We start from the raw sequence: 23,080 nt of genomic DNA, 5'->3' as shown, positions 1-23,080 counted from the left end.
GGCCTATGTTAGAGAACCAGAAAAGCAGTTTGGGTGAATAACCAGGACCAAGGAATAGAAAAATCTGAACATGTTTAAGATAGAGAATCTTGATCCCACACTATACTGTTGCAAGGTTCTTACATTTTGTAAGCAGAATATAGTAGTCCTCCCATATCCGCAGGGGATACAGTCCAAAACTCCCAGTGGATGCCTGAAACTGTGGATAGTACCAAATCAAAACATATCCAGGTTGAGTATTCCCTTATCCAAAATGCTTGGAACCAGAAGTGTTTCAAATTTCAGGGGATTTTGGGATATTTGCATAATATATACCAGTTGTACATCCCTAATCCGAAAACCCAAAATCCAAAATGCTCCAATGACCATTTCCTTTGAGCATTATGTCAGTGCTCAAAAAGTTTCAAATTTTGGAGCATTTCAGATTTTCAGATTAGGGATGCTCAACCTGTACTGTTTTTCCCTATATATACATACCTGTGATAAAGTTTAGTTTATAAATTAGGCACAATAGAGAATAACAATAGCTAATTAAAAATAGAAAAATTATAACAATATACTGTAATAAAAGCTATGTGAATATAGTCTGTTTCTCAAAATATCTTATTGTACTGTACTGCAAGTAACTGAAACCATGGAAAGTGAAACTACGGATTAAGGGAGGACTACTGTAATATTAACTAAATATGCAGTGATAAGCTAAGGATGAATATTGTAATCACTAAAGCAACTATAAAAGCAAAAAAAAAACCAAACAAACAAACAAGAAAATGCAAAAGATATAGCTGGAAAATGTAAATATGACCATGGTCCACCTTTCCTTAAAGTCCTTCAGCAGTTTCCTAACTCAGGATGAATTTCAAATTTCTTAACATGATTTTCTTATAAATCCCTGTCTACCTCTACTGTAACCTGCTAAAGGCAAGTAGAAACTAACAAAGAGCTTTAAGATGAGTGACAGTGATCAGACCAGTGCTTTAAAAAGATAACACTGGCAACAATGTGTAACCTCCAGCTAAAGAGAAGTAATAGAAAGAATCAACAAGAGGCCGAGCGTGGTGGCTCATGCCTATAATCCCAGCACTTTGAGGGGCAGGCAGGAAGATTGCTTGAGCCCAGGAGTTTGAGACAAGCCTGGGTAACATAGCAAGAACGTTTCTCTACAAAAAATTAAAATAAAAAAAATGAGGAGAAAAAAAGAATCCACAAGATAGTTATTGTCAGGCAAGCGATAGCAAGAGCCTAAATGGGCAGTAGTGATGAGATAAAAAAGAGGGAATTGATTTAAAGGAAATTTCAGAGACAAAACTCACATAACTTGGTTACCACTTTGGTTTACATGTGTTGGGAAAGGGATAACAGCAGGGGATGAATAAAAGATGATTCTGATGTTTCAACAGACAGGAAACAGAGAAAAAAATCTTTTGGGGAAGACCTAGCAGGCAGCTGGAACTATAGCTAAGGAGCTTGAGAAAAGCCACAGCTTGAGAAATAAGATTCAGAAGTCACTGGCATAGGTATAGGGTTGGTTGATATAGACCAAGAAAGTACAGATTTAGAAGAATATCTAGATTTAAGGGATAAGAAAAAAATAACAAAACAGACAAAAAATAGGAAAAGACAACTAAGAAAGGCCAGAGATCTAATAGCAACGAATAACTGAGCTTAATATGCGCCAGGCACTGTTTTAAGCACTTACCATATATTATCTTGTTTAATTCCTCTCAACCACTATACTATTATCCACATTTCCAGATGAGAAAACTGAGGCTGAAAGAAGTTAAAGAGCTCCTCTAAGGTTACACAGGAAGAGATGGTATAGCCAGGGTTAGAACTTAACAGGTTCACTGACTCTAGATGCTGATTTTTAACTACTATCTGATTATGATGATGCTGCCCTTACAATACTACTAGTACTACTACTGATAATGATGATGATGATGATGAAGACAACAACCATCACTCACTGAGCACTCAAAATGTGCCAAGCACTACTAAACAATCTACATGTATCACTGCAAATAATTCCCAATAACCTGCAAGAGAAGAATGATTATTATCCCCGATTTTATAGATAGAACATTGAAGCTTACAGAGGTTAATTTGCCCAAGACCACAGAGCTAACAGGCAGCAATGCTGGGATTCAAATCTAGAACAGGCAGAGGTATCTTCTAAGTTGGACTTAAGATAAACTTTAAAAAATGAAACCTGCATAAGTGGATGGCTGAGAAAAATCTGCAAACAACTGAGCTCAACCTAGGTAAAAGGTAAAAGCGGATAGCCAAAATGCACAGAATCATTAAAAATATTATTTTTATAAAATACCTGACGTTTTAGAGAGATCAACTCCATGTCCAGTTGCCTCAGGATGGTGTTGGCTGCATTGGGACTACAGGAAACTGCTACCACATCTTCCTGGGTTAAATACATGCCCTTAGGTGGACGGCACTTAGAACGCTGAGAATGATGGCGATGTTGTAAACTCTGATACTCTCTTCTTCCAAGTCCAATCTTGCTAGTTTGGACAGGTTGTTCAGTATTACCCTAAGAGAATAAAAGCAGAATAACAGGTCACTTGGTTTTCACAAATGTATAAAGTGAAAACAGTCTATTAATATTAGAAGTATCTGCTGCAATAAGTACACATAAAAAAACACTTCTAACCAATTATATATTATGTACAAGTCCATACACACACACACATAACACTCACCAACTGGGAGGAAAAGCATACAACATAATATATCCTTGCTTAATCCACTCAATCAAATGTTTGATTTTTAGGCCCAGAGGACTAGGAATAAGTGAAAAAATAAGTTAAGACTCTAAACTTTCCTATGTACTTCAAGATGTGATATATTTTCCCTCAGCAATAAAGGGGGGGAAAAGCCACCTTATTAAATGCAAAGTTCCTCTAAAAATAAAAATTAGAAAGAAAAAAGGGGGCAATTTAGAAATTATGACAATAGCAGATTAGACAGCTGGTTAAAGAGAGATAACATTTCATTTTTACTTTACAGTTGCTGAAAGAAAACTACGCCTCTAAAGGTTAAAAGGGACACAATTATCTTAACCCTGAAAATATTTCTAACTTCCAAATCTATGATTAAATAAAATAAATAATAAATATAATAAATAAAATAAATATAATAAAATATAAATAAAATATTTATAAATAATTTTATAATTTATAAATTTATTATAAATATATTTATAAAATAATTTATAAATATTTATAAATTTATTTATAAATAAAATGTAATAAAATAAATATAATAAAAATATAAATAAAATAAAAAATAATATATATGATAAAAGTAAATTTATGTCTCGGAAGAGTTAAAAGTATAACAATGATGACTGTGAAGTTTTAGGCATTATTTCATTATAAGTTGTTCTTAAAGTATGATATAAAAACACGTTATTCTGAAAGAATAATCTAGAAACTATATATTTTAGGTTGAAGATTATTTCAATGAATATATTTAATAATCCAATTTTTTTTTTTTTTGAGACAGGGTCTCACTCTGTCACCCAGGCTAAGTGCAGTGGCATGAGCACTGCTTACTGTAGCCTTTTGACCTCCTGGGCTCAAATGATCCTCCCACCTCAGCCTCCTGAGTAGCCAGGACTACAGTTGTGTGCCATTATGCCTGGCTAATTTTTCTTTTTTTGTAGAGACGGGAGTCTCACCATGTTGCCCAGGCTGGTCTCAAACTCCTAGACTCAAGTGATCTGCCTACCTTGGGCTCTCAAAGTGCTAGGATTATAGGCATGAGCCAACACGCCCGGCCTAATACTCCAATTTCTTAGAAAAGGAACTCTTAGTAAAATTCGTTAACAAAAAAAAATTTTTTTTTTGGTCCCCCAGGCTGGAGTGCAGTGGCACGATCTCGGCTCACTGTAATCTCCACCTGGGCTCAAGCAATTCTCCTGCCTCAGCCTCTGGAGTAGCTGGGATTACAGGCACCCGCCACCATGCCCAGCTAATTTTTGTATTTTTAGTAGAGATGGGGTTTCACCATGATAGGCAGGCTGGTCTTCAACTCCTGACATCAGGTGATCCACTGCCTCGGCTACCTAAAGTGCTGGGATTACAAGTGTAAGCCACTGCACCCACTAAAAATTTATTATGAAGCATAATCCACTTAATTGCTCGAAGCTACCTCCAAGCAACACATGGCGGATCTGATGTTCAGAGAAACTCCTCCCAGTAGGGCACTACTAAAATTGCTGATCAAACATTTTTTAAAGTCTTTTAACATTCACTTCTGAGCTGGCAGGGAAGTGAGGAAATTCTTCCGAGGCCAGAAATGATGAGAAAGCAAGAATCCAGAGGGAGAATCAAGTATGCAGTAGTTGTCATTTGCCTAAAGCCAGGCTTCAATGGACAACAGGTGCAGGGCACAGGAGACAAGCCAAAATGCTAAAAGGGGAACTCCATCACTTTGTGAAGTAGGAAAAAAACACTCCTGCTCTGCAGAGGGAGGGGGTGATTAATGGGAGCCATGTCCATCTCACTCTTGGCTGGGTGGAAAGAAACCAAAAAAAAGTCTCCCAAGAGTGCCCCAACCACAGTCCTCCATTCAGGCAGGTTTAGGGCCTAAATTTATATGATCTGTTTGCCTGAAAAACCCCAAATCAAGATTTTAAAGTGTCTTAGATTGGTAGTGCCTAGAGACAAATAACAGAAGCAAATGCAAATCCTCTCTAGAACAATGCACTTTAAACCCAGGTCTCAAAAAATCTGTTTATGACCAACAGGTCTTCACTAAATGGGCTTCTAAAGGATATACTGCAGGAAAAAGGAAATTATTTTCAAAGAAAGCCCTTAGATTCAGGAAAGAAGGGTGGGCAAAATAGAAGTTAAAAATGTGGGTAAATCTAAACAAAACGGACTATATGTTTGATTTGTGAGATTTAAAAAACCAAGATGTAACAAACCGTGCACAAAACTAGTATATAAATCAGGATGGTAGTGGATGCAGTCAAAGCATTCTAAGGGCCTTCTATTAATCAGAAAGTCAATAAAGACATCAATATTAGATTTTAAGTTAAATATGCAGGATAAAATTTTCAGAGTATACAATAAGAATAGAAATATAGAAACATCCCGGCTGGGCACAGTGGCTCACGCCTGTAATCCCAGCATTTTGGGAGGCCGAGGGGGGCGGATCACGAGGTCAGGAGATCGAGACCATACTGGCTAACCCGGTGAAACCCCATCTCTATTAAAAATACGAAAAATAAGCTGAGCATGGTGGCATGCGCCTGTAGTCCCAGCTACTCAGGAGGCTGAGGCAGGAGAATCACTTGAACCTGGGAAGCGGAGGTTGCAGTGAGCCGAGATCACGCCACTGCACTCCAGCCTGGGTGACAAAGCGAGACTGTCTCAAAAAAAAAAAAAAAGAAAAGAAATATAGAAACATCCCAAACAAACACAGAGGGAAAGAAAATTGAGTAAGAGATGGATTCTTAATCCCCAAAAATAGGACACGAATGAAGGGAAAGAAGACTAGGAAAAGCAAGTTGAATAGAAGGTAAAAATAAGAAAGAACAAAAATACATCAGCTAAATGTGATCAATATAAATGGGCTTAACTCTTCAGATAAAATATTAATACATACGCCCAGCTGTATGCTCCTTATAAGACACATACTTAACATGTGAGGACACAGAAATGTTGAAAGTAAAATGATAAAGATAAACCAGGCAAATACTTAACAGAAGAAAAATGGTGGAGCTATCAACATAACAGATAAAATAATCTTCAAGGCAGAAGCCAATAAAAGAGACCCTACATATTGATAAAAGGCTCAATTCAGCAGCAAGATAAAACAATTTGTATGCACCTAATAACACTAACTTCAACATATAAAAAACTACTTCTCAGTAATTGAGTGATCAGAATAATTGATCACATAAGCAGACAACAAAAACCAAGCTATCAAGTAGGCAAGCAGTAAGAATATGGATTTCAACTACAGAACTGACAAACCTAAATTAATGGACATATATAAAACCTTGTTACCAAGATAATATCCCTAAGCACACATGGGAAAACATTTATGAAAATTCCATACTCTGGGCTTGGAGGTTTAAAACATGTCAACAAATTCCTCAACATTCCTGCCATGGGGAAGCAGGGGTCTATATTCCTTCCCCTTGATTCTGAACCAACTTTAGTAACTCACTTATAACCACTGAATGCAAGAGAAGTGACTCTGAGTAACTTTCAAGGCTAGGCCAGAAACAGCTGAGTAGTTTCCACTTAGTGCTTCCGGGATTGATTACGTTGGAGGAAACCAGCCATTATGGCAAGAAGTTAGATTACTCAGAGACCACCAAATTGGAGAGGCCAAATGGAATTGCTCCAACCTACAGCTAGCATCAACTACCAGCAATGTGAATGAGTCAAAAACCTTTAATAACAACCTACTTGATGTTGAAACAAAAACGATTCTCTTTACGATCAGAAAAATGTTCCCTATCATATCTTCTATTCAAATTATATTGGTGATACTAACCAGTTCAGCAAGAGAAGAAATAAGATACAAGGACTAAAAAGAAACAAAATAGCTATTATTTTCAGGTAATATAAATCACTATATAGGAAATCAAAAGTAATACAAATAAGTTATGAAGAGCAAAGGTCCAAGAATAACCAAGGTACACACTCCTTAAGAAGAACCACCAAATAGCAGAACTTACCCTAGCAACTATCAAGACTTATGAGGCTTATTATAAGTAATTGAAAAAATGTGGGATTAGCAAGGAATATTTAACTGACAACAGAAGCAGAATAGAGAGCCAGGCATATGCGTAAGCCTCATATAAAATAAAGCTGGTATTGCAGACCAGTTGAAAAAGATATTCAATTCCGTATTAAAAAATAAATAGCCAGGCATGGTAGGGCTCACACCTGTTATCCCAGCACTTTGGGAGGCCAAGGTGGGAGGATCACTTGAGCCCAGAAGCTCAAGACCAGTCTGGACAATGTAGCAAGACCCCATCTCTACAAAAAGTTTTTTAAAAAATTAGCTGGGTGTGGTGGTGCATGCCTGTAGTCCCAGCTACTTAGGAGGCAAGAGGATGGCTTGAGCCCAGGAATTTGTGCCAGAAGTGAGCTATGATTGTGTCACTGGCACACTAGCCTGGGTGACAAAACAAGACCCCCAACTGTTAAATAAATACATAAATAAATAAATAAATAAATAAAGGATCTCTACCTCACAACATGAACTTATTTACTGCTACAGCAAGGACTTCAATGTAAAAAGAGAAAAAGTTTAAAATTTTCAAAAGAAAATGTAAAAGAATACTGGAATTTAAATTTAAAATTGGCCGGGCACAGTGGCTCACGCCTGTAATCCCAGCACTTTGGGAGGCTGAGGCGGATGCATCACAAGGTCAGGAGATCGAGACCATCCTGACTAACACAGTGAAACACCGTCTCTACTAAAAATACAAAAAACAAACAAACAAACAAACAAAAAAACAATTAGCCAGGCGTGGTGGCAGGCGCTTGTAGTCCCAGTTACTCAGGAGGCTGAGGTAGGAGAATGGCGTGAACACGGCAGGTAGGGCTTGCAGCGAGCCGAGATCCCGCCACTGCACTCCAGCCTGGGCGACAGAGCGAGACTCCATCTCAAAAAAATAAATAAATAAATAAAATAAAATAAAATAAATAAATAATAAATTTAAAATTTATATGCTTTTGATGAAATAGCTGTTTACTTCCCTGTAGAGAGTAAAAACACAAACCACAAACTGGCAAAAGATATTTGCTGTTAACCAAAGGACTCGTATCCAGAATATACAAAGAATTCAATAAGAAAAAACTTTTTATATTCAGTCTTTAAGAAAAAGACAAATACGCAGTGGAAAAATGGGTGAAAAAAAAAAAAAATACAAGCCAGGCATGCTGGCTCACGTCTGCAATCCCAGCTACTTGGGAGCATGAAGCAGGCGGATCATTTGAGCCCAGAAGTTTGAGGCTGCAGTGGCTATGATCACACAACTGCACACTAGCTTGGGCAATAAGCAAGATTCTGTCTCTAAAAAAACAAAACAAAAACCTCCACGAACGAAACATATAACAACAGCTAATAAACAGATAGAAAAACATTCAGCCTCAGTAGTTACCTGATGAATGAAACTGAGGACACAATGAAATGCCTTCTCATATTGCCAGATTTGGAACATTTTAAAAGTCTGATCAAGCATTGGCAAGGAAGTATACAATGGGTATTCTCACAGTCTAGTGGAGGTATATCAGCTATAGAAAACAATTATGCCATTACCTAGGAAAGTTTAATGTGGCTATTCCCTAAAATAGAGTGACTCCATTCCAAAGAATCCTGGGACCCTGTTACTCAGTAAATCACTGTTGGCATTTTGGTGAAACAATCTGTGCTTTGCACTTCAGTATAGTTGTCACCCCTTTCTCCTGCCCACTCGACAACTGAAATGCCCCACAATCACTGTTAACAATGAAAACACCTCCATAATTTCTAAATGTCCCCTATGGGGTCAGTGCTAAACCTAGCTGAGAACTATTGTACCAAAGGAACTCTCAGACATGTGTATCCAGAACATGTTCATATCAGCAGTGTCCGTAATAAAAAGCTGGAAATTAAGTTTATTAATTGGAGAGTGAATAAGTTGCAGTATATGTATACAATGGAACACTATAATATAGCAATAAAAATGAATCGCAAAAATAATAACAAAAGGCAAGTACTGAAGAATACATACAATATGATTCCAATTAAATAAAGTATGAAATAAATGAAACTAAATGATAATCATATCATCATATGTGATTATATATATGTGATAAAACTATAAAGAAAGAAGTGAATAATTTAGAAATTTCATTATAGTGGTTCCCTCTAGAGAGAAGGTGAGACTATGCAATTGAGGCCGGGCACGGTGGCTCACGCCTGTAATCCCAGCACTCTGGGAAGCTGAGGCAGGTGGATCACCTGAGGTCAGGAGTTCTAGACCAGCCTAGCCAACATGGCGAAACCCCATTTCTACTAAAAATACAAAAATTAGCCAGGCATGGTGACGCATGCCTGTAGTCCCAGCTACTCGGGAGGCTGAGGCAGGAGAATTGCTTGAGCCCAGGTGGAGGTTGCAGTGAGCCGAGATCGTGCCACTGCACTCCAGCCTGGGCGACAGAGTGAGACTCCCTCTCAAAAAAAAAAAAAAAACAAGAATATCCAATTGAGGAAACACAAACAGGACTTCTGTTTCTTCAGCTCAGTGGTAGATACACTGGTATCTATTATTTTTCTTTAAATAGTTCACAACTTTTAAAAGTTAAAATTAAAACTTTCTATGTAATATGTTAACAACATGCAGAAGCAGCTACAAAGATCTATATTAAAAGCAATAATGTAGTTTCTTTCCCTGCCTGGTATCCTTATTGTTTGGAATGAGCAGAGAAATGAATGAAGCTGCTGACACATAGTGCTAGTCTTGGACCACACCTCTGCAGTATCCTCTTAAAACTTTTTAACTTATACTCCCCTCATATTATTTTCTGGTAAGATGAGATCATAAGCAAACAAAAGACCAAATGAGTATGCATCATCTTGCATAGTTGGGCAAAACTATATATTCCATATATATACATACATATATACACATACATATATACATACATATATTTTCTAGGTAGCAAATTCTTAAGTTTTCAGGTTTATATCACAATTAAGAGCATATAGCATGTATTCTCATTCATTAAAATTTTACTAAATGCTTACTATGCATCAGTCCCTGGGAGTGGAAAATAGTTAAAATATATTCTTGCTCTTAAAGAGCTCACCACGCAGGAAGGCAGGGAGGGGAAACTATGAGTAAACAAGTACCACTCAGTAGAATTAGTACTGCAACAGATTTAAGGAGAAATAAGGAGGTTGTCAATTCAAGATAAGGCACAAGATTTCATAGAGAAGCTACATCTTGTAGAGTTGTGAGGAATTTCCTAGGCAGATTTGGGAAGAAAGGAATTCCAGAAAAAAAGGGACCAACATAATCATAGGACAAAAGCCAGGGAACTAAACGACATATCTAAAACACTGTTAGTAATCTGAAATAAATGGGGAAGGGTAAGGAATGCCTAACTGGAGAGTTTGTGTTTTATCCTACAGACGACACCATGTAAGGATTGCAAGCAGTGAATCAGCAACTTTACAAAGGATTGCTTTGGCAACAGGGCAGTCAATGGACTGGAAAGGGTGGTGTGGAGAACCTGGAAAGGGAGGCACGGAGATAATCGGAGAGAAAACTGTTAGGATAATTCAGAGGAGACGAGAACCTAAGAAGAAGGCAGTCACACAGAGAAGAACAGAGAGATCAAATCTCACAGTTTTTTGAGAGACAGAATTAAAAAGAATAATGATAAAAGGAATAGAGTAAGAAAAAGATGCCACTAAAATTGAGACACAATGGTTAAAAAGGTAGATGGGAATCAGAATGGCATTACGAAAGTCAAAGACAGCTTTTCAGGAAGGGAGCAGTCAGTAATTTGATACAGAAAGCACAAGCAGAATACAACTGATCACTGGATGTGGCATTTAGGAAATTACTGGTAACCTGTCAGCAGTTTCAGTGAAGTGGTGGGACAGAAGCTGCCTGACTAAAGCAAACTCAAAAGTGACGTAGTGCTAAGAAGGATGATTTGTTTTCTAGAGTGGTTAAGACATATGCCTTTTTTTTTTTTTTTTTGAGATGGAGTTTCGCTCTTGTTACCCAGGCTGGAGTGCAATGTTGGAATCTCAGCTCACTGCAACCTCCGCCTCCTGGGTTCAAGCAATTCTCCTGCCTCGACCTCCCGAGTAGCTGGGATTACAGGCATGTGCCACCACGCCCCGGCTAATTTTGTATTTTTAGTAGAGACGGGGTTTCTCCATGTTGGTCAGGCTGGTCTTGAACTCCTGACCTCAGGTGATCTGCCTGCCTTGGCCTCCCGAAGTGCCAGGATTACAGGCGTGAGCCACTGAGCCCGGCCAGAGAAACGCTTTTAAATGGAAGACTTGAACATACTTTTTGGCTGCACTGAAAGGTTGAAAATATGCGAAAGACAAAGGATAACTGGTGGAGAAAGAGTAGATACGAAGGGATGGATAGGATCACACAAGCAATGAAATTGTATAGGAAAAGAAAGAAGATCCTTCTTACTGTGAGAGAGGGATATTAAGGCCCAAGACTGTTCATTCAACAATGATTTATTGAATCAACATTTATTGAATATTTGCCATATACCAGGTACTGTGCAAAGTGTTAGGGGATACAAATGAATAACTCAGTCCCTGACTTCAAAGAGTTAGCAGCTTAGTGGGCAAAATACAGTAACTGTAATATGTTCTAAGTACTAATATACCACGGTGGAAAGGCCAGTATGGTAGCACAGAGGTTAGAGGAAGGGCTGGAATTTAAGGGAGCTTCTGTCTGACACTTTCTCTGTGACATGGATGAAGTTATCTGCCAAGTGTTTTTAGGGGTGGAGGGGTATTAGGCAATGTGTAGGAAGGGAAGAATGTTCAAAACAGCTGCCCAGATAAAACAACAGCAACTTGTATCCAAGATTTCTATGTCCTGGGTACTATAAAAAGTGCTTTTATACATATTACCTCTTTGATTCTCAAAACAATCCTATTATTTTCATTTTACTAAGAAAAAAACCTGGAACTTAGAGATTAAAAACTGAGGCACTTAAGGACTACAGTGAGACTGGAAACTGTTTTTCATAGTAGCAACAATTTACATAATTGTATCATTTTCTCCTGCTGCATCTCTTAGACCGTGAATAGCAACGAATCCAGCATCATGAGGTTACAGGGTTAGGGATGGTATAGCAGAAGGATAAGGGAAGTGGGGAGTTAAAGGAATGGGGAAATGGGAAAGAAGGAGATTCGAATAGTTGATCATTGGGACCACGTTTCTGGGAAACAAAGGTAAGGCAGACTTGGGGGAGAAAATGAAGGAATTAAGGAATTTGAGAATATTTAGCAGTAGAAAGAAAATCAGTAAAACACAAAATTACAGTAGAAGAGAATTTTTTAAATAACATTGATGAAAGAGCTTAAGGTGATGAATGGCCCATGGCATTGGGTTTCTTCAGAAGAATGAGAGTCACTAAACTGAATGAGGTCACATAACTAGCAAATGCTAAGTTTAAACAAACTCAGATCTTTTTCCAGTTTCAATGGTATTTTCAACTTTCAACAACTTGGTTAACTGGGGTTCTAGGTATGACTGTATTGCTAATTAACACTGAAATTTACTATCTCATAAAGCATTACATTAAAAAGTTTTTCTTAATACGAAGTACTGTTCATTCTTTTTCAGCAGATTTGTAGAACAATCACAAGTACTTCTAGTGATCATCATTACCTCTTTTTTGGCTTCTTTTTTGGGATCATAATCACTATCATTCCCATCCATTGGATGTGTTTCTTCTACATCATCATCACTGAGAAGAAACAAAAATTAGTACACTTAATTCCCTTTTTTTTTTTTTTTAAGACAGCGTTTCACTCTTATTGCCCAGGCTGGAGTGCAATGGCATGATCTTGGCTCACTGCAACCTCTGCCTCCTGGGTTCAAGCGATTCTCTCACCTCAGTCTCCCAAGTAGCTGGGATTACAGGTGCCCAGCACCACGCCTGGCTAATTTTTATATTTTTAGTAGAGACGGGGTTTCACCATGTTGGCCAGGCTGGTCTTAAACCTGACTTCAAGTGATCTGCCCGCCTCAGCCTCCCAAAGTGCTGGGATTACAGGCATGAGCCACTGTGCCCAACCAATTCCCTTCTTTTTATTGTATTCTAGTGCTCTTATCAAACTGTAATATATATATCTAAATAATTTTACTAAATATTATTTAACAGAATAAGAGTTGTACTTGGGAAGATGAGCTTTTAATTCAGATTTCTGTAGTGTTCAGAAACATTTATCTCATTGGGTATACAGAATTCTTTTAGCAAACACTTCTAGCTCAAAAACAGAGACCCAGTGGGAAAGGGATTTAAAAAGAAATATCATTTGGGAAATGGGAACACATACAAATTGACATAATACTTAAATTTCATTGGAGAATAAAGACAGACAAAAATGAAACAAAATGATTTTATACTATCAAAAGATTTAGCCTCAATAATAAGGGTTTCAGTTACTCAGGTAATTATAAAAAGACCTTTTTCATAGAACATATTCTTTAATATATTCTAAATATGTGTATTAAATATATCAATACTAAAAGGAAGCATTTGTGATTAAAATTAAAAGAGGTGAAAGAGCTCTTAATATTAAAACTTCTAACCACTTGGCTCTTCTTGTCAGAGTAGAAACATAAATGTAAGAATAAGGAATATTTACAATGTGTTGTGATAACTTTTCTGCCTTAGGAAATGTAAGCAATACAATGCAGTGTCCCTAACAATGTAACTATATGAAGGTAACCAACCTACCTGTCACCCTGATTATGTCTATTAGCTAGTTTACGAGCCTGGCGATCCATCAAACTTGTCCTAGAGCGAGTTTTTTTCCAAGAATAGTAATATTTTACAAGGCTTGCAATTGTCTTATCTGGAAGCTTAAAAAAAATCATGTTAATATCAGCAAGTTTAATTCATAAACAAAATGAATAATTTTGATGATATCTTTACTATTTAGTAAAGGCATAATAAAAAAATATTTCATGGGTACCTTTATGAATTATAGAGCTAAAAAGTACTACTACAGTCAGTATCCCATATCAATTTCACTGACATTTCTGAATGAATATTCCTATTTGTTCTGGGAGAGGAGGGGAAGAGGTCACAAACTAATCTGGTGAGAATGTCCCCAGAAGTTCCCAGCGCAGCCATGTTAGTATTCAATATATGTAATTCACATAAAATAAAATTCTCTATTTTAAGTGTACATATTAGTGGTTTTGGTGAATTCACTAACTTGTACAATCACCACCTCTATCTAATTCCAGAACATTTTCATAATCTCAAAAAGAAATCCGGTACCCATTAGCAATCATTCCCTATTCTCCCCTTCCACCAGTCCCTGGCAACCACTAATCTACTTTCTGTCTCTATGGATTTGCCTATTCTGGACATTTTACATAAAGGGAATCATACAATATGTGACCTTTTGTGTCTTGCTTCTTTCAATTAGCAAGATGTTTTAAAGAAAAGCTATTCAATTCTTAACAAATTTTTCTGAATAACTTTGTTTTAAATCCAGGTCTTAAAATGGTAAATAATGCAAACAGGCTTTGGCCATCAAATGAAGTCTCTGAGTATTAAAATGACTAATGATCATGCACTGATCTGTCAGAGTAACAAACAAGGATGCAACTTCCCCACCAAAAATGTTCTCTTCCATTATGGAAGACACCTAGATATATTTGCAAATATTATCTAATTTTCATCTACTCAGGTTAAAATCGTTTAATGCAGGAACTTCTCAGATTTACATTATTTTGACACAATACTAAAAATGTAGGAACTAGAAATACAGAGCAGTTTCTCTCCATTAAAAAAAAAAGAAAGAAAGAAAAAAAGCAGCACCATCTGGACAATATTGAAATAATATTTTTTTTGTTTTTTTGTTTTTTTTGTTTTTTTTTTTGAGACAGAGTCTCGCGCTGTTGCCCAGGCTGGAATGCAGTAGTGCAATCTCGGTTCACTGCAACCTCTGCCTCCCGGGTTCAAGCTATTCTTCTGCCTCAGCCTCCCAAGTAGCTGGGGCTACAGGCGCATGCCACCACACCCAGCTAATTTTTTGTATTTTTAGTAGAGACGGGGTTTCACTGTGTTAGCCAGGATGGTCTCGATCTCCTGACCTCATGATCTGCCCGCCTCGGCCTCCCAAAGTGCTGGATTACAGGCGTGAGCCACCGCGCCCGGCCTAATATGGGATTTTTTAAAAAGGGCTTCCATATCCAAAAATATATAAATTGGAAAAAATCCTCGTGTCAAAGAGTGAAACATTTAAAAATAAAGTTGAAATTATTTTTTTTCCTGGAACAATAAACATACGAAATAACTCTTATTACATGTATATTATTACATGTTATTTAAGTCAAAATAAAAGCTAATTTACTATAATGCAATAGCACATAACTGTCATGTAAGAGTGGTTGCAGAAAACAGGATTGTATATAAATATACCTACTTACAAATAGTTTTTAAAATTAAATTGAAGAATGTTTTTGTATTTAATAATTAGGAAGTGTTTAATAGTAGCTTAAGATATCATTCACATATGAACCACAGTAAGATTAAAATTACCATACCATTTGCTGAATCCTGTGAAAGCTCTTTCCATGAAAACTAAAGGCTTGTTCAAATAGGACTTTATCTTCCACTGTCCACTCATCCGGAAAGGGAGTGAAATTAGGGAGATCAGCAAGGGACTTCTCAATGTTATGTTTATGCCAGAACAACATGCCAAGTGCCTTTGAAGAGAAATCATTCCCCTTTGGTTTTAATGGACTTATGTTCCATCACACTTAAGAAAGTTAAACACAAATTAGATTAAAATCTTAAGCCTATGACTTCGACTGAAGATAGACTCACAGTTTGGGACTTTAAATCAGGGGCGCTCAGGTAGCAGACCTCATTTATTTATTTCTTTTAAATCAGGGCCTCAGAACAGTGAATGTTCTTACATACCATATTTGCTGCAGAATCTAGGAAAAACAGTGAGCTGAGGAGAGTGACTACAAAGCAGATTTGTAGGTTCACACCAAGAGTTTAACCCACATTTTAAAATTTGTCAATATGTAGGAAAAAATTTGCTAAAAGGAAAATTTCCAATAAATCCATACTTGAATGAAATGATCAGATGCCACAAAGCCAGAAATGCTCAGTTGGGGTTTAGTAGAGAGACATTTAAGTTTTAATCTTTTACAAGTGTATCACAGGCTAACCATGTCCAAGAAGTAAAAGTACCTCCACTGCAACTTTAACAATTTTTTAAACCACATTTACTTATTATCAGAACATATAAATAGAATTATTAGGAGGCATATAAATAACTTCAATGACTTGATTACCAAATCATAACAAAGACTGAAATGGACAATTTCCAAAAATTCCATAACTTCCCCTTCTATTTTTAGTAGGCCTTTCTCTTTATTATAAGGTATTAAGCATCATTTAGGGCACAAACTTTTATTTTCCAAGAGATATAGGAACTTTATAAATAGTGAGTTTGTTAATTTCTGTACTCTGATAACAGTCCTTTAAAATACACAGGAAAACAAACATATTAAGGTATAGTCCTATTTTAAAGGATTAACTTTCTCAAACATTAAACAGAAAGACAAGGCTTAAAAACAAAATAGGCAATCAAAGGCTTCAAAATCCACAAAAAAGTTAACTACCTTTAGATAGATATAAAATAAACATCTCAATTTCACAAAAACATTCCTTTACCATGTAACTGGACTATAAAGTTAGCTCTTGATAACCCAGGTTACAGATAATTTACCTTTCTTACTTATCTTAAAACAAATCTACCTATTTTACTATTAATTCTGATAAAGGTTGAAATAATACTTAGTTGAAATGAGATTTAAGATCTCTTTCATTTCATTATTCTGTAATTTCCATTCCCTCATTACTAAGGGTAATGTACCATATATTTGTCTCTCTATATATAGTATATTATATATAATAGAGTGTATTACATAATAAACATCATATAAATACATTATAGTCTATTTAATATAACTTATCTCCATAACTATGTATGTTATACTTACTAAATTCAATGACATTACTATATTTTGTATGCAGAGAAAGACCAATCTGTGGGTAGCCAATAGATCTAATTATAGTGTAAAATATTGAGATAATTTCTTGATTTTGTTACAATTTTTATTTGAAGAGACTTAACTCTACATACAGACATATATTATATATAGATATATCCTTTTGAAGTTACCTAACAAAAAAAGCCTTTTGTGATTTCATTCAAAATTTAAAAGTCTTAAATATTCCTTTAAATGTAAAGTTTAACTTTTAGATCCTGTAGAACAAAAAGTCAAAAGAGAATTACCTGTATCATTAAAATTTTTTATAAAGAAAAGATTTGTTTTAAAGTTCTATCTATGTACACTTACTCCAAATTACACCAAAACCTTAACTTTTCATTTTGGTAAGCATTTGCCAGAGGAATACTGAAGGCTTCCAGAAACTTTCAGAACTCAAAGTAGAATAAGAAACAGATATATTGAAAGAAAAACATTTAAGCCCTTGAGATGAATAATGTTTATAAAAGCAAACTCCTTAATATTGAAAGGTCACTCTTTGCTAGGACTTTTGTGGTATCTATAAAATAGCTGGTCAAGCTTATGCACGCTGTTAGGACAGAAACTATCATGAGATAATCTAGATTTGGTAAATATTGGGACAAGCCTTACTACTGAAGTGTTTCTCTACATACCTGTTCCACATTGTAGCCATGCTTTTCCTTTGCAATTGCAATGTATTCATCCACTGCAATGAAATAATGTTATATAATTAATTATTCTCATTTACTTCATTTACCTAGGTCTACTTTTGTTCTTAACATAGCAAATTAAAACAATTTATATTCCAGGGTAAAAAAAAAAGCCAAAGGCACCTCCCATGAAATGTTACAAAAAGAGACTTATCATAGCAAGATCAGATGCTCACCTGGTTTAAAATTTTATTTAGTATAACTTATCTCTACGACTACACATTATACTTACTAAATTCAATGACATTACTGTATTTTTGTATGCAGAAAAAGACCAATCTATGGGTAGCCAATAGATCTAATTGTTGTATAAAATATTAAGATAATTCCTTTTTTAATAGTCTTTATTTGGAGACTTAGCTGTTTAAGACACTTTCACATATTTCGAGTTGATCCAAAGCCTTTACCATTCCATTTTTGATTGATGTATAAAGGATAGTTTATAGTTTTGCCAGCTATACATAATAACGACACATTTATGTATGCTTCAGTACTCTAAATTTTCTTCAGCTCTTCCTGCTTGTTACACAAAGCATGTTTGAGTATTCCACTTTCATTTATCTTCCATACGTAATTAAGCCAACAGAATTATTTAGATAAGCAGTTTCAATGATGATAAACTGGCTATTATTTCAAGGCCTCATTGCTGAGAAGTCTGACACATTCACCAGAACTCAGTTTTATGTGAACTCCATATAATCAATCACTCTGCCTTGATTCTAATTAATTTATATATGTGTATGTATGTATAAATTAACTTTTTTGGAAATATTTTTGAGAAGCAGTGGTTAAGAATCCTGATTCTGGAACAGCTAGTCTACCTGGGTTTGATTATCGGCTTATTGCTATTTTTTTGACTTTGGCCAAGTAACTTTTGACCTTTCTGTACCTTAGTTTCCTCACTCTAAATAGTTGTTAAAAACAGTACCTTCCTCCTATGATTAAATGAGTTAATAAATGGAAAATGCCCAGAACAGCACCTGGTCCATTTTAAGAATTTTTTAAGTATTTGCTGTGATTATTAGTCAGTATAGTCTTCATATATGAATACACTCTTATAATAATGCTATTAGAATAAAATTGTTAAATGTATGCTATCAAATCTCCCCCCAAAGGGTAAGCTTTTTGTGTAGAAAACCCAAATATTATATTTTGTTTACAGCCCAAAGCACTTAAATACATGACAGGTCTAAATATATGCTGAACAATACCAACTGACCTGTGGTTTCCAAACCTGGCTATGCATTACAATCAGTGTGGGAGCTTTTAAAAAGTAAGACATCCAGGCCGGGCGCGGTGGCTCACGCCTGTAATCCCAGCACTTTGGGAGGCCGAGGCGGGCGGATCACGAGGTCAGGAGATCGAGACCATCCTGGCTAAAACGGTGAAACCCCGTCTCTACTAAAAATACAAAAAATTAGCCGGGCGTAGTGGCGGGCGCCTGTAGTCCCAGCTACTTGGGAGGCTGAGGCAGGAGAATGGCGTGAACCCGGGAGGCGGAGCTTGCAGTGAGCCGAGATCCCGCCACTGCACTCCAGCCTGGGCGACAGAGCGAGACTCCGTCTCAAAAAAAAAAAAAAAAAAAAAAAAAAAGTAAGACATCCAGGATCCACCCTTGAAGCCTCTAACTTAATTGGTCTGAGAAAGAGACTAGACATAAGTACTTAAAAAAAAAAATTCCCCAAGTGATTCCAATGCACACCCAGGGTTGAAAACCATTGCACTACACCTTCATTTAAATATTCCGCATGAACACTACACTACCAGCACACTCTGGCTGAATTTTGTTTTCCACTTTGCTAAGAAATGAACCATTGTGTAAAACAGAACTAAGCCAGCAAAATTCAATGATACCCTGATGCTCAGTTTGTGAATGAAAACCTTTGTCTGTAATGAGGATTGAACCTGGGAAACCAATAGTCTCTTTCAGGTTCTCATTAAACAGTCTCAGGCCAGATGAATAATTTCATGTTTTCTGTTAGGAATGCTTCAAGGGCACACAATTTCTAGATTACCAGCTAGACCTTTAGCTGGTGTTTTATAGCTCTTAAATAGAAAGATTTATCAGGTAAGCAGAAACATACTCAGTTTTCAATTTTTAGCTCTATTGCATCAATAAGCATGATTCAACTTACTATTCATGATAGGATATCATTAATTTTCATGGTACTAAATAAATCAGACACCTTTAAGATGTTAGTAAATATTCTAAAAAGACAAGTTTATCTTACAGCTGCTAGAATTAACTGTTCAGTGTCGTTGTTGTTGTTGATGTTATTTAATAAACTAAATGATAACTGAATGGAGGGGTGGGTATCTTAGTGTTGTTACCTGCACGTTTCCTATATCTGATGTGCCGCAAAGGATCAGGTCCGCTACATCACATTGAAGTCTAAAGCCACACCATGATTCAAGAAGTGCATGGTCAATGATCCAGAAGGTCTCCGTCCAGAAATGGAGAGCACAAAGATGACCTGATGGCTGCTGAAGTCAGTTCTTTCCCCTTTCCTCTTTAAAATGGTAATGATAGTGGGCTCTTTGAAGTTTGAAGGCATGTCTTTACCGCTCCATATACTGAGGAAAAGCCTGGGCAGATGTCTACATAGTAACTCCCTCCCCTGCTTGAGGATTTAAGCAGCAATGCCATCAGATCCTAGGTTTTTTCATTCTTCATGGGCCTGACACAAATTGGAATGATCAACCCACTATCTTCCAAAAGGAAAAACATTCTAATATAACAACCTCCATTAAAAAAAAAATAAAAAAATAAAAAATAAAACAAAGACAAAACTGTTTTCTTATGAGAATCTATAAGACCCAAAAACAAACGTAAGTCATATTTTGAATTGGCTGATAAACTCCTGCTGACATTAACATTCAACTTCAGAAAACTTACATTTGGCATCTGGGATACTGTGATATGGAGACCATACAAGCATCCCTCCATTGTCTTTATCTGTGTACTTTGTAGCACCTGGGGGAAAAAGATAATTACTTTGAATATGATGGATTTTATTTACACTGAAAATAAGTAGAAACAAAGTAAGCTGCCCAGGCACGGTGGCTCATGCCTGTAATCCCAGTACTTTGGGAGGCCGAGGCAGGCGGATCACAAGGTCAGGAGATCGAGACCATCCTGGCTAACATGGTGAAACCCCGTCTCTACTAAAAATACAAAAACAAAATTAGCCAGGCTGGTGGCAGGCACCTGTAGTCCCAGCTACCAGGGAGGCTGAGGCAAGAGAATGGCGTGAACCCGGGAGGCGGAGCTTGCAGTGAGCTGAGATGCGCCACTGCACTCCAGCCTGGGTGAAAGAGCGAGACTCCGTCTCAAAAAAAAAAAAAAAAGTAAGCTTTATTTCTGTTTTAGTACAGTACCTGCAGCAAAGGAGGACAAGTAAAGAAAATATAGGAAAACAGAAGGAAAACAGATTTACATTACATATAGTAAATATTTTGCTTATAAAAACTAAGGAAATTTTGCAAATGCCGGTTTATCCCTTTTAAACTAAAAAAGACTTTCTTCAGTACATTACATATCTCTACTTGACAGAAGGTAATAAATCTGATTTAAACTTCCATACATTACTTAGAGATCATCATTAAAAATTCAAGACTTTTAAACGAGAGAGAATGCCTCAGGTATTTTTTTTTTTTGCCCCATGTCTAAATGGGCCAAGATTGCTGTAATTTTTAAACACTTTTGTCTGCTTTTTATTTAATTTTATTTCTTGCTAAGGGTCTGCCAGCTATTCACTTTTAAATTAAGTTCATTTATTACATCTTATATTTATAAAAGTTTGTGATCTACATTAGAAGAAAAGTCAAGATAAAAAGATAAAAGTCTGGGTGTGGTGGCTCATGCCTGTAATCCCAGCACTTTGGGAGGCTAAGGCAGGCGGATCACCTGAGGTCACGAGTTCAAGACTAGCCTGGCCTACATAGTGAAATCCCGTCTCTACTAAAAATACAAAAATTAGCCAGGTGTGGTGGCGCGCACCTGTAATCCAGCTACTTGGGAGGCTGACGCAGGAGAACTGCTTGAACCCAGGAGGCAGAGGTTGCCAGTGAGCCGAGGTCACACAGCTGCACTCCAGCCTGGGTAACAGAGCCAGGCTCCATCTCAAAAAAAAAAAAAAGTCAAGATAAAAAAGTTAACGCAACTTCTTCTTAATATAATCTGAAAGTCTACTTCTAACCTGGAAGAATAGTAACATTTTCTAATTTCTTTCTTTCTTTTTAAACATGTGAAGTCTTGCTATGCTGCCTAGGCTGGTCTTGAACTACTGGCCTCGAGCAATCCTACTGCCTCAGCCTCCCAAGTAGTTGGGATCACAGCTGCATGCCACCACACCTAGCCTCTAATTTATTTCTAATATTTTATAGCCTAGAAAGTCAGAAAAATCAAGCCCTATTAAAACTTCATATAAATTAAGAAACAATAGCATGAATGAAGGCCTGAGATAGCTATGCCAGAGCCAAGTTACGTGCCTGTAGATTCTATTATTTTAATCATTCAGTGATATTTTTCTGGTCTACCTAATTCTTAGTTGCATTTAATTCATTAAAACTACCAACAAATGAAGCATTGCTGCCACTTTTTTTTTTGAGATGAAGTTTCACTCTTGTTGCCCAGGCTGGAGTGCAATGGCGTGACCTCAGCTCACTGCAACCTCTGCCTCTCAGGTTCAAGCGATTCTCCTGCCTCAGCCTCCTAAGTAGCTGGGATTACAGGCATGCACAACCACACCCAGCTAATTTTTGTTATTTTTAGTAGAGACAGGGTTTCATCATGTTGGCCAGGCTGGTCTTGAACTCCTGACCTCGTGATCCGCCTGCCTCAGCCTCCCAAAGTGCTGGGATTACAGGAACACGCCACCATGCTTGGCTAACTTTGTATTTTTAGTAGAGACAAGGTTTCTCCATGTTGGTCAGGCTAGTCTCGAACTCCCAACCTCAGATGATCCACCCGCCTCAGCCTCCCAAAGTGCTGGGATGACAGGTGTTAGCCACTGCACCCGGCTCATAAATGACTTTTATGTGGTACCGATAATTACCATTAATAGCCAGAATTCCAAAATTACTGACATATTAAAATAATTCCGAGGTTAAACTGTAATCCTTTATAAAGTTATAAGATACTTGGAATGAAGAACATTCATTTCTAGGGGTCAGAGAACTACTACTATAATCTCCAGCTAGAGAAGTTATCTATCAGGCAATAATATAATATCATTAAATATTTTTATTTTTAGAGAAGCATCATATATCATTACTGATCAACAAATTTTAGTTAAAAAATCATACATTGCTATAAAATATAAATTTATCTTAAAATTCTATGTATGTTATAAGGAAAATTAAGAAGAAAAGAGAACTGAAAGAAGAAACACTACCAAAGTATTCGAAAGCCTTTTGTATTTTGTCATATCTTTAATAAAAAAGGACACAAAAGCATGAGCTGAGAATTTAGGAAAATGCCAAATTAAGGTTCATTATGAAAAAATTTATATTCAATGAAAATAAACTGGCCAGGCCCTGTGGCTCAAGTCTATAATCCCAG

The 23,080-nt window shown here is 36.6% G+C and overlaps 1 protein-coding gene across 26 annotated transcripts in view; it reads right to left on the bottom strand.

Moving 5' to 3' along the window:
* The window catches only part of RCOR3 (REST corepressor 3), a 57,020-nt gene that overhangs the window by 24,663 nt on the left and 9,277 nt on the right, over positions 1-23,080 (bottom strand). For 21 of the 26 annotated variants that reach the window (NR_146432.2, NR_146433.2, XR_007061956.1 and 18 more), the window contains 6 exons: positions 20,414-20,491; positions 17,461-17,513; positions 15,305-15,466; positions 13,482-13,606; positions 12,407-12,485; positions 2,327-2,545 (listed from right to left, as the gene is read on the bottom strand). Coding sequence is in view for 19 of the 26 variants with exons in the window: in XM_047425046.1 (XP_047281002.1) it covers positions 2,327-2,545; positions 12,407-12,485; positions 13,482-13,606; positions 15,305-15,466; positions 17,461-17,513; positions 20,414-20,491 (716 nt within the window). In the remaining 7 variants the exon portion in view is untranslated. Of the gene's footprint in view, positions 1-123; positions 200-2,326; positions 2,546-12,406; positions 12,486-13,481; positions 13,607-15,304; positions 15,467-17,460; positions 17,514-19,848; positions 20,196-20,413; positions 20,496-23,080 lie in introns of those variants that run through there. The other 5 variants (XM_047425052.1, XM_047425053.1, XM_047425038.1 and 2 more) reach the window with 3 other exon arrangements.

This window comes from Homo sapiens, chromosome 1 (genome assembly GCF_000001405.40).
Source record: "Homo sapiens chromosome 1, GRCh38.p14 Primary Assembly".
NCBI lineage: Eukaryota > Metazoa > Chordata > Mammalia > Primates > Hominidae > Homo > Homo sapiens.
Note: the sequence above shows the minus strand (reverse complement) of the source record. Positions and strands in the feature narration are given on the sequence as shown.